At 41.9% G+C, this 12211-nt stretch overlaps 1 protein-coding gene and 1 pseudogene across 3 annotated transcripts in view, besides 3 other annotated features; both read right to left on the minus strand.

The window, feature by feature from the left end:
* The window catches only part of ALDH7A1 (aldehyde dehydrogenase 7 family member A1), a 53379-nt gene continuing 41639 nt past the window's right edge, over nucleotides 472-12211 (minus strand). For all 3 annotated transcript variants that reach the window (NM_001202404.2, NM_001182.5, NM_001201377.2), the window contains 5 exons: nucleotides 10652-10768; nucleotides 8827-8924; nucleotides 8560-8633; nucleotides 4955-5030; nucleotides 472-3650 (listed from right to left, as the gene is read on the minus strand). In NM_001202404.2, coding sequence (NP_001189333.2) covers nucleotides 3596-3650; nucleotides 4955-5030; nucleotides 8560-8633; nucleotides 8827-8924; nucleotides 10652-10768 — 420 coding nt within the window. In that variant the 3' untranslated portion in view covers nucleotides 472-3595. The remainder of the gene's footprint in view (nucleotides 3651-4954; nucleotides 5031-8559; nucleotides 8634-8826; nucleotides 8925-10651; nucleotides 10769-12211) is intronic.
* Nucleotides 2368-2662: an enhancer, noted in NCBI's record as "tiled region #10286; HepG2 Activating DNase matched - State 5:Enh". NCBI's record gives its function as "activates a minimal TATA promoter and a strong SV40 promoter by Sharpr-MPRA in HepG2 cells {active_cell/tissue: HepG2}" and the evidence as "EXISTENCE:reporter gene assay evidence [ECO:0000049][PMID:27701403]".
* Nucleotides 3029-3078: an enhancer, noted in NCBI's record as "active region_23023". NCBI's record gives its function as "activates an Ori minimal core promoter by ATAC-STARR-seq in GM12878 lymphoblastoid cells {active_cell/tissue: GM12878}" and the evidence as "EXISTENCE:reporter gene assay evidence [ECO:0000049][PMID:35858748]".
* Nucleotides 9534-9635: a silencer, noted in NCBI's record as "fragment chr5:125886595-125886696 (GRCh37/hg19 assembly coordinates)". NCBI's record gives its function as "represses an EF-1alpha promoter that drives an FKBP-Casp9 reporter gene in an ReSE screen in phorbol 12-myristate 13-acetate-treated (for megakaryocytic differentiation) K562 erythroleukemia cells {active_cell/tissue: K562(+PMA)}" and the evidence as "EXISTENCE:reporter gene assay evidence [ECO:0000049][PMID:32094911]".
* Nucleotides 11933-12029, minus strand: LOC124901189 (uncharacterized; annotated as a pseudogene).

A 12211-nucleotide genomic window follows, 5' to 3' on the forward strand; every position in this document is an offset into this window, starting at 1 on the left:
TATATGTAGAACTCTAAAACAATTTAAGTAGAAGAAATTTAAAAGATCACAGAATCAAATGTTATTTTCCCTGGAGTTAGTAACTGCCCTTTTTATTGCTTAATTTGCTTTGTATGTTTTTTTCTCTTATTGTAAAATACAACATAAAACTCACCATTTTAACCATTTTAAAATGAGCAATTGAGTAGCATTTAGTATATTTGTAGAGTTGTGCAATGACCACCACTATCTAACAGAATCCTATAGAGCCACAGCAGAGGCGACACCTGACAGGAGATGTAGTCGCAGAAAAGGGAATAAGCTTGCCCTTCCGTCTGCACAGGGAAATGGCATTCTATTTATCTATATACACACACACATATACCAATTACTGAATCAGGATACACAGCTAAAAACAGATCCTGTTATATGTAAGAATGCAGTGTACTATAAAAGAGGTATCAGTGTGAAAAGGACAACCCAATTGTCTAATTGGAGTTGAGGAATTATTTTTATTTTTAAAAGGGAAATTAACGTAGACAAATCGTAACATGTACCCCAAATCCAAATGGATTAAAGACAAAAATGTCAATAAAACATTTGTGGACCTTTCCAATAGAAAAAAAAAAAGAGCAAACTCTAACTGCCTACAACATTTTAAATCTAGAATCCTATATTCAATCAATATGGGGATAAAGTTCTTCCCCTTGGATAGGAGAGGTTTCGTTTGGTTTTCTTTTAATTTCCTCCAAAACAATCATTGGCAGGAAGCTTCTGCAGGATAAGCTCCAGGTGTAGAAAAAAAAAAAAAAAAAAAAGTTTGTTGGAGACCATAGGAATTTCATAAAAATATTGAAACTGAAAACACTTAAAAAGCATTCCAAATCAGCTTTCCAATCTGCAACCTTTGTTAGAATGAAGGCAACAAGAAAATGGTCTGAAAGTGCCAGGGAAGAGAAGAGGAAGGACACAGAGCCCTCTTGGTCCCTTCAGCATTTTCAGGAGACAGAATGCCACAGAGAATTTTCCACAGAGCTGGGCATGGTGGCACACTCCTGTAATCCCAACAACTCAAGAGGCTGAGGCAGGAGGATCGCTTGAGGCCACAAGTTCAAGACGAGCATGAGCAATGTAGTATGACCCAATCTTTACAAAAAAAAATAATAATCAGCTGGGCACAGTGGCATGCACCTGTAGTCCCAGCTACTGGGGAGCATGAGGTGGAAGGATAGATTGAGCCCAGGAGTTGGAGGCTGCAGTGAGCCACTATTGCACCACTGCACTCCAGTGTGGGCAAAACTGAGACACCAAAAAAAAAGAAGTGTTCTGTGGTTGCAGAGCAAGAGAGAGAGGAGGCTTAACAGATTCCCACCCTGAAAGAGAAAGTAGGAAGCAGAGTACATAATAGCACTCAATTTCCTTTGAGAAAACTGCCTTCCCTCCATTGTGAGAAGTCTTCACCTGGAGGGCCTGCCTCCTCACTGCTGCAGCCAGGAGCCAGGTCTTCACCCACTTCCCAGGGAGTCACAAGAGCCTGGCTGCTAGGCTCAGCGAATGGATGCTCTCTCCAAGTACAGCAAGATCCTAAGCAAGTTAGGCTTTAGTGCCGTGGCAGAAGCAAGCATGCTGAACACAATTCCCCGCATCCACAATGGAGGCTGGGCATTGCCAGCAGTAGCGGTTGGAACACAGGATTTAGGAGGAGGCAGCAGTTATGAAATGCTCAAGATAACCAGTAATGAGCAGCACAAGACCCCTTGCACCTTCAAATATAAGACCAGTAATAACACTTACAAATGTACATTTTAACTTGGATAGTTAAAAATACTAACAAGTGATTTATATCTGCTAAATCAGCAAAAAAGAACAAAGAGGAACAAATTGAAGGCATATGTTTTAATGAACATTATAACCAAAAAAAATTGAGTCCTTGTGCTAGAAACATGTAGAAGAAAAATTATAAATTTGTTTCAAAGAAAGCTTTCAGAATCAGTTTTACCTAAAATCTATAGCTAAGATTATCACTCCCACATACCCTCACCCATGATTTCTTCCTGCCAACCTTCTCTCAATAGCTATATCAGTATTTGGCTTGATTCATGTTCAATATTGACAACAGCATGTCTAGTTAAATACTGCTCGCAGCTGGCCATGGGACATATTATGAATACCTTTGCTTCCCAGATACATTTATAATTGTTTAGTTTTTCATTTGCTTACTTCTCTGGGCCATAATTCAACCCCAAATTATTTGCCATTTGTCCAGATCTCTCCACATCCTGATGGATCAGGTTGTCTACAAATGTCATCTTGTTCAAAGGCCTCTGCTCCATTCTAACCTGGCAGGAGTAGAGGGGTGCCATGCAGAAGGGGAGCAGAGAATGCCAGGAAGGCAGGAGAACAGGGGCCTCTGGGCTGAACCAGCCCAAAGGCTCCTGTGCAGCTTCCCAGTGAGAAAAGGTGAGACTGTCAGCAAAGAGAAAGTGAACTTTGCCCAGCTCTCTATGACCACATGCTGCCACACACACTGAGGATTGAGAACAGATCCAAGGGCAACCGCAGACGCCTAAAGCTAAAGAAGGTGGTCTAAGGTTGTATAAAAAAATCCAGATGCACTTTTTTTTTTTTTTTTTTTTGTAGACAGGATCTCACTGTTGCCCAGGCAGTGGCACAATCTAGGCTCACTGCAACCTCTGCCTCCTGGGTTCACACAATTCTCCTGCCTCAGCCTCCCTAATAGCTGGGATTACAGGTGCCTGCCACCACACTGGGCTAATTTTTGTATTTTTTGGTAAAGACGGGGTTTCACGATATCGGCCAGGCTGGTCTCAAACTCCTAGCCTCTACTGATCCACCCGCCTCGGCCTCTCAAAGTGCTGGGATTATAGGCGTAAGCCACCTTGCCCAGCCTCCAGACGCATTTTCTATACAACTCTGCACGGGCAATTTTGGCCTCAGAGTCCTCCAGCAGGTGGCAGACTCCAGCACAGGAACAAAATCTGTCTACCCCAGAAATCTCTTCCAAGTTGACACAGCCTTCATAAGCAAGAGCCATAACTGTGATGAATGCCTGTTGTCATTTTAAGCACTGCAAGTTATTCCACATGAATACTGAACTGTGGTCCAAGCATACAGGGGAATGCATCCCCCTTTCAATCACACGACATCCAACACATGCCATAGGTGGGTAATGTCAAGCAATATTCACCCCCCGCCCCTGAATCCTTCACTTGGTCAGGAGACACCCTGTATCTACTGCAAAGACTTCTGTTTTCTCCTCGGTTCTGTATTTTCCCAAATTCCTACCCTGGTACGTACTATTTTTTTCTAATTACAAAATAATCATTAACTTTTAAAAAGCCATGTACAACTAGTTGACATAATAAAAATCCACCTAACTCATCTTTTAGTAACTATGGCTATGTTGTAACAATTTTATTTTGATTTTTAAAAAAGGAATCTCTTGATTTAATCAGGGCTTTGGGGTCATAGGGGGATTAGTCACTGTCACAGTCATAATAATGCATTTATTCAGGGAAAACTTTAATTTTCTTTGTCTTCTCCAAAAACAGCTGCTGGAACACCTCAAATTAAGGGATGTTCATCTAAAACACCTTTACTGAAACTTGATTCCTTGGGCCAGAGGAAGGTCTTTACTGTAGTTGATAGTACTAGTGGGAAAAAATAACAGAATTAATGACAGTACATACATAACAGAAGATTTTCATGCCCACTTTTAAAATGTAGCAGATCTGTATATATTAACAAGGCAAGATCTCCAAGTTACAACTTTTTAAGACAAACCTTTAAGATAAAAGACAATGTTAGTATGGATCCCGTTTTATTTAAAAGAAAAAAGACAGAAACATAAAAATCTGGAAAGACATACCATACATGGTTTTTTTTGTTGGTGGTGGTTTTTGTTTGTTTGTTTGTTTTGTTTTGAGACAGGGTCTCACTCTGTCACCCAGACTGGAGTGCAATGGCACAATCTCAGCTCACTGCAACCTCCGCCTCCCAGGCTCAAGCGATTCTCCTGCCTCAGCCTCCTGATTAGCTGTGCACCACCACGCCTGGCTAATTTTTGTATTTTTAGTAGAGACGGGGTTTCACCATGTTGGCCAGGCTGGTCTTGAACTCCTGACCTCAAATGATCCACCTGCCTCAGCCTCCTGAACTGCTTGGATTACAGGCATGAGCCACTGCAGGCGTGGATCACCTGAGGTCAGGAGTTCAAGACCAGCCTGGCCAACATGGTGAAACCCGGTCTCTACTAAAAATGCAAAAATTAGCCTGGCATGGTGGTGCAGGCCTGTGATGACAGCTACTTGGGAGGCTGAGGCAGGAGAATCGCTGGAATCTGGGAGGCGGAGGCTGAGGCTGCAGTGAGCTGAGATCAGGCCACTGCACTCCAGCCTGGGTGACAGAGCAAGACTCCATCTCAAAAAAAAAAAAAAGTGTGCCCTCAAAAGTGCAAGAAACAGCCCAGCATGGTGGCTCATGCCTGTAATCCCAGGACTTTGAGAGGCCGAGGCAGGCAGATCACCTGAGGTCAGGAGTTCAACAACAGCCTGGCCAACACGGTGAAACCCAATCTCTACTAAAAATACAAAAATTAGCCGGGTGCTGTGGCTCACGCCTGTAATCTCAGCACTTTGGGAGGCCAAGGCGGGTGGATCACCTGAGGTCGGGAGTTCGAGACCAGCCTGACCAACATGGAGAAACCCCAACTCTACTAAAAATACAGAAACCACGCACGAGACCATTTCATTGTTGGGTGCTGGGCACTAGCTGAAGCTAGACAAGAAGGCTAGAAAAATAGCACCAAATAGATACTTAGAGGAGACAGCTGTGGAATGCTGGAAAAATCAAATCAAATGACACTGCACAAAGACAGCACAGACAGTAGGAAAGTGTAAAAGCCCATTCCCAAGGGTTTTAAGCCCAAACCTATCTTCCCAAAGCCTTTTCTTACCAAGTAGACCTTCTCATGTACTGTTTCCAGGCATCACTGCCAGACTCCCTGCCACCACCAGTGTGCTTTTCTCCTCCTAGAGAAATAAAAAATAATATCATATCTTCTGAGCAGTTTCCATGTGGGCTCATAGTTGGTATCAATGAAAAGAAGATACCAAAAGGACACCAGAACAACCTGATTATTTACTTTACATTTAGCCCACAATATCTCCCCTGCAAACAAATCAAAGACAGAGACCAAGAGACCAAAACAAACAGAAAAAAGGAATTAAGAGGGAAAATAAAATATAAGGAATTAAGAAGAAATGGAAACAGAAAGAAACGGTAAAAAAAAAAAAAAATCCCATTAGCTGGGCGTGGTGGTGCATGCCTGTAACCCCACCGTGCCCAGCCCACACATGTTATTCATAGTTTTTCTTTTGAGCAGGGCACAAGAATATGGGAGCTGTAACTGTCTTCTTTATCTCTCTCAATAACTTGTATTAAATTATCAGGGAAAACACAAATATTCCCATTTGATAGAAATACATTAAGAAAATATAACAATTTTGAAATAAAAGCTTCTCTATTAACTACTCACCTGGTCTTTCTCATGAGAGGGAAAGAATCTCCATTAAATGGGTTCCAGAAAAATCACAGCTGAATGTTTGCCCTTCTAGCTCTCAAATGCACAAGCAAAGTAAAAAGAGACATAACTGACTTCAAAGAATGGGAAGCCAGCAAAAAGCCTGCACACATTTGAAATAAAACAAACCACAGCTAACAGCGCCTCTGAAACTCCTGGCAGGAACAGAGTCGCAGAGGCTCTAAGGAACCAAGGCTGAGCACCTGCCTGAGGTTCCGGAGCTAGTGACAGCAGTAAATGGGACTGGGATGGTGTCTCTTGGTTCCTCACCCAGTGCTCATTCTACAAGATAACACCTCATGGGTCTTCCCCAACAAACTCTTTTATTGCACTTGAATAAAAGCTATTTCTACCCAAGGTGGGCAGGGAGGGAGTAGGGAGAGAGCGAATAAAAGCAGAAGAAACAAGTCCTAGTCAAAATCTCCCAAGAGACTCCCTATCCAGCTACGCACATGCTGGGGGAATGAACTAATCCACTTTCAAGGACCATGCTCACTATTCTGAGAGCTGGTACCCCACTGCCCTCCGCTTGCTAGCCAGGCCTGCAGGGCCCTCCCTGCCTCTGTTTTCTACTGCTTCTTCAGTATGCAAGGGTACTGGGTGCATCCAAGAAGAAAATGAAAAGAACAGCTTCTTCTACTTTCTCCTACTAGTTGACTCCCATGTGTCCTGCTCCTGGACAGAAACCTCTATCATAATAGAGGGTCAATACATAATGTCTAAAGCTTTCAAGGAGACAGCAGTGAAAGCACACTAGTTAGAAAAACTGACATCAATTCAAAGGTAAATTTGCTTTTTTCTTTTAGTAAAAAGAATCTCGGCCAGGTACAGTGGCTCACACCTGTATTCCCAGCACTTTGGGAGGCCGAGGCAGGTGGATCACAAGGTCAGGAGTTCAAGACCAGCCTGGCCAACATGGTGAAACCCCATCTCTACTAAAAAAATACAAAAATTAGCCAGGCATGGTGGCGTGCACCTGTAATCCCAGCTACTCACGAGGTTGAGGCGGGAGAATTGCTTGAACTGGGGAGGTGGATGTTGCAGCGAGCCAATATTGCACCACTGCACTCCAGCATAGGCAACAGAGCAAGATTCCGTCTCAAAAAAAAAAAAAGAATCTCAATGTAGCCTCTGGGAAAGGAGGAGGAGAAGAAAAGTATGAGCAAAACTACTTTTTCCATTATAAGACTTTTTTAAAACTTTTATTTATTTAGAGACAGGGTCACACTCACTCTGTCACCCAGGCTGAAGTGCAGTGGTGGGATCATGGCTTACTACAGCCTCAAACTCTTGGCTTAAGCGAGCCTTGCACCTCAGACTCACGAGTAGCTGGGAATACAAGTGTGTGACACCACAACTGGCTAGTTTTTTTTAATTTTTGTAGAGACAGGGTCCTACCATGTTGCCCAGGTTCATCTCAAACTCCTGGGCTTAAGCAATTACAGGCATGAGCCACCATGCCCAGCCCAAAACTTTTTTTTTTTTTTTGCGGGGGAAGACAGGGTCTCACTCTGTCCCCAGACTTGAGTGCACTGGCACAATCTTGGCTCACTGCAACCTCTGCCTCCCAGACTCAAGAGATCCTCCCACCTCAGCCTCCCAAGTAGCTGGGACTACAGGCACACACCATCATGCCTAGCTAATTTTTGTAATTTTTGTAGAGATGAGTTTTTGCCATGTTGCCCAGGCTGGTCTTGAACTCCTGAGCTCAAGCGATCGGCCCACCTCTGCCTCCCAAAGTGCCAGGATTTCAGGTGTAAGCTACTGTGCCTGGGCACCAAAACTTTAAAAATTAATTATAAAAGCTTAAATGAAGAATAGTCAATTGACTGGGTGCAGTGGCTCATGCCTGTAATCCCAACACTCTGGGAAGCCAAGGCAGGTGGATGGCTTGAGCCCAGGAATTTAAGACCAGCCTGGGCAACATAGTGAGGGCCTGTTTCTAAAAAAAAAAAAAAAAAAAAAAAAAATTTAATTAGCTGGTGTGGAGGCACATGCCTGTAATCTCAGCTATTCATGAGGCTGAGGCGAGAGGAATGCTTGAGCCTGGGAGGTGGTGGCTGCAGTGAGCTGTGATCGCGCCACTGCACTCCAGCCTGGGCAACATAGCAAGCCCCCAGCTCAAAAAAAAAAAAAAAAAAAAAAAAAAAGGAATAGTCAATCAGAGAGAGCAGGCATGGGTTGGAAACAGGGATTAAATTAGTACAAAAGGAGAAGATAGACACTCATGCATTCAGGCAACTGCACAGTGGAGTGCAGGGGCAAGGGGTGAACTGAAAACAGCAAAGTCCGTGCATCAAATAGTAATTGTAGTATCTGCTCTAAAAATGTAAAAGAATGCTACTAATGATATAAACTTTTACAAGTATTAATGCATGTTTGTTTTGCTTCTATATTTAAAAAAAACAAGCAATCTGTTTTATTTTACTTTGGATCATTTTTAATAAATAATACTTAATATACAATGGTTAGGGAGAGTTTTTAAGGAAAAACTACTACCAAGTTTCAGCATTAATAATGTATGGCTTATTAAGAGGAAACAGGAGCAGGGCCCAGTGAAAAGAAACAACTTTGTATTCCATCTAGTGAAAAAGAGTATGTTTAACATTTATATGCCTACTTTGCAAATAAAAACCAGAATATTTCATATAAAATTTTCTGGCTTTGAAGCAGGGATTCTTAATCTTTTTTGGGTCTGGAAACTTCTCCCCAGAAAACAAATGCCACCATTTCAGGGGTTCACACATTTCAAGTTAAGGGCCTCTGCTCTAACCTGATGCTGCCTCTGAGGAGATGACGCAGGACTCTATGCGATAACTTTGAATACAGAATGTAAGCTTTTTCAGATATGTTAGATCACATAAGGTTATTTCAGAATATAAGGAGTGTTTCAGTCTCTTGGTCAGCCTTTTCTAAAAGCTACTACTGGTTTTTCTTTGCTGCCCAACATGGAAAAGGAGAAATGATTCTCTACGTACCAAAGGCACCTCCAATCTCAGCCCCACTTGTTGGAATGTTGACATTTACAATGCCACAGTCTGATCCTTTAGGTCTGTGTAAAAAGGGAGGCATGGTGAGAGCAATGAACAGGAAATTAAAAACAAACAAAAATAAATAAAAAATCTAAACCAAAGCTCAAAGGCTTTCAATACTGAAAAACTGATTTTAGACTACAGCAGTTTTTTTAAGTCCACTCACCACATAAATCAGACTTATATAAATTTTCAAAATAGACAAAGTTGTACCCAAGCCAGCGAAAGATTCTGCCCAGATCTTTGGTAAAGATGCTACTTGAAAGTCCCTGTTTTACTTCATTATTCCATGCAAAGACCTCTTCTTCATTCTAAAAGGAGAGACATTGGAAGCTGTAAGATGTTATAGTGTTCAAGTCAAAGTTCACTGACATTAAACTCATTTCCTGAAGTGTACCAGTATAATTTCAGTGTACAAAAGGAAACCAAAGAGTCAAGTTTACTCACTCTGTTTCTCTTATAATTCAGATCATTGATAATAAGTAAAAAATTTTGGGATTTTTCCCCTAATTATCAGAAACAAATATTAACACATTCTTCCTTTCATTCAAGCTACTACATATAATAGCTAATATCTATTGAGCTCTTACGTGTGTAACACACCAATCTAAGCACTTAACATGCATTTAGTTATTTAATCCTCATCCTATAACACAGGTTTCCTACTACCTCCCAATTTACAGATTGGGCAACTGAGGCCTACAGAGACTAATTTGCTCAAGAGCTCACACAGCCTCATAATGTACACAAACACATTACAAAACACAAAATTATATTCTCTAGTCCCCATACGTGAAACAATGATAGGCAATTTAAAGCAAGAAATAAAGAAGCAATGATGTAATTGCAACAAGATGCAATTCTCACTATTATTTTACTGTTAATAATGGTACATTCAAATATTGATTCAATCTCTGCAGTCTCAAAATTAATCCTAAATATTTACTGGCGAGGCTAGGGCCCGTCTCAAGCTAGGGAATGAGATCTTCTAATTTATCCACCTGTGTGGGTTTTTTGGGTTTTATTTATTTGTTTGTTTTAGAGACAGGATCTCTTCCCACCTCAGCCTCCCGAGTAGCTAGGACTATAGGTACATACAACACCTGGCTAATTTTTTAATTTTTTTGTACAGACAAGGTCTCACTGTGTTGGTCAGGCTGGTCTTGAGCACCTGGCCTCAAGTGATCCTCCCAAAGCACTGAGATTACAAGCATGAGCCATTGTGCCCAGCTTCTTCACCTATTAAAACCTTTACAGTTTGAGATCAAGATATGAGATCAGGGAAAACAAAACAAAACTCCGCAGCCTGTCCTCTGCTGGAGTTTATAACTATAGGTCTTTTTTTTTTTTGAGATGGAGTCTCACTCTGTTGCCCAGGCTGGAGTGCAATGGTGCGATCTCGGCTCACTGCAACCTCAGCCTCCTGGGTTCAAGTGATTCTCCTGCCTCAGCCTCTCAGGTAGCTGGTATTACAGATTACAGGCGCCCAACACCACGCCTGGCTAATTTTTTTGTTTTTTAGTAGAGACGGGGTTTCACCATGTTGGCCAGGCTGGTCTCGAACTCCTGACCTCAGGTGATCTGCCTGCCTCACCCTCCCAAAGTGCTGGGATTACAGGTGTGAGCCACCGTGCCTGGCCAACTATAGGTCTTTGTATTACCCCCACATGTTCTCATTTTGTCTGCTGACATGTTCACAGCACTCAGGCTATCAAACTATCCAGTACCACGGTTCAGGAGAAGGTGACTCTATGGCCTACACAGCCCAGGATTAAGATGACACAGGAAATGAGGACCACACACTTCATAAACTCCAACACTGGTCCACTACCCAATCTGGTTTCCCTGGCAGCTAGCTTGGCATGCTATAGAGTTTTAAAGTGTTTATCTCATATTTTATCCTGAACCTTCATATATCTACTATTCAGATTACTTTCTAAAACCCTCTTAAAGGTTCATCCAGTGAAATTTAATCCACCATCATTTTCCTCTTATCATTTATTTCAACATCAGGCTAGCGAACAGAATGCATTTTTACCTTGAATTTAAAGACATAGAGAATCGGAGCAAAAGTCTCTGTGTGTGCAATGGACGCATCGTGGCCAAGACCTGTCACAATTGTCGGTTCTACATAATTTCCAGGGCGATCCATAACCTAATGCAGAGAAATGAAATAAAAAGAATGAAAGCATTTTGTTTTCTAGGACTTGGGGTCAGAGGATGCAATCTTTGCCTACATTTATAAAGAAAAAAATTAGCATCATTTATAGGTGAATTATTTCTCCAAAATAACTTCCAATCATGAAAGAAAATTCTCTCTTCCTGATATTGGTTCTAACTTAGTTGGTCAGAGAAAAATGGAAATAAGGAGTCAGGCAGGGATAGAGAGCCATGCCATGTGACACAACCAAGTTATGTTGAACAAACACTGCTGCAAGCGGTTATTTTCACTCAGCCTGTAGTGCAATGGCTTGATCTCAGCTCACTGCAACCTCCGTCTCCCGGGTTCAAGCCATCCTCCCACCTCAGCCTCCCAAGTAACTGGGACTACAGGCATGCACCACCATGCCCAGCTAAATTTTTTTTGTATTTTTAGTAGAGACCAGGTTTCACCATTTTGGCCAGGCTGGTCTTGAACTTCTGACCTCAAGTGATCCACCTGCCTCAGCCTCCCAGAGTGCTGGGATTACAGGTGTGAGTCAACATGCCCGGCCACAAACAAATCTTTATATGTGGGGGGTTTTTTGTTTTTGATTTTTTTTTTTTATTATTTGGTTTTTTGTTTTTGATTTGGTCTTGCTTTGTTGTCCAAGCTGCAGTGCAGTGACATCATCATGACTCATTGCAGCCTCGAACTTGTGGGCTCAAGCAATCCTCCCACCTCAGCCTCCCAAGTAGCTAGCACTACATGTGCATGCCACCATACTCAGCTAATTTTTTTTTGAGACAGGGTCTCACTATGTTGTCCAGGTGGGTCTTGAATTCCTGGCCTCAAGCAATCCTCCCACCACAGCCTCCCAAAGTGCTGAGATTGCAGGTGTGAGCCACTGCACCTGGCAATATGTGTTAATTTCTTTTTTAATGCTTATGATATGTATTTTTTTATTCCTTGCCTTAACTGACTTTTTAAAATAACCAATAAATAGATTATAATTGCTCTGAATACAAAGTCTCCTACTGTACTTGAAAAGGAATTTTCCTTTCCATACAAATATTAAGGACCCAATTCAAAAGCAACCATGACTCCGTTTCTTCTATGTCCTTCCAGAAATGTCCCATGCATTTTCTGCTGTCTTTTTTTAAAATATGGAATACTTTTTAAAATACGGATATGAATTTGCATATCATCATTGTGCATAAGCCATGCTAATCTTCTCTGTATCTTTCCAATTTTAGTATATGTGCTGCCAAAGCAAGCATTGTTGTCATTCTTTAAAACGTGTATTTCTGGCTGGGCACGGTGGCTCACGCCTGTAATCCCAGCACTTTGGGAGGCCAAGGACAGTGGATCACGAAGTCAGAAGTTCCAGACCAGCCTGGCCAACATGGTGAAACCCCTTCTCTACTAAAAATACAAAAATTAGCTGGGCATGGTAAT

Source organism: Homo sapiens, chromosome 5, assembly GCF_000001405.40.
Source record: "Homo sapiens chromosome 5, GRCh38.p14 Primary Assembly".
Taxonomy (NCBI): domain Eukaryota; kingdom Metazoa; phylum Chordata; class Mammalia; order Primates; family Hominidae; genus Homo; species Homo sapiens.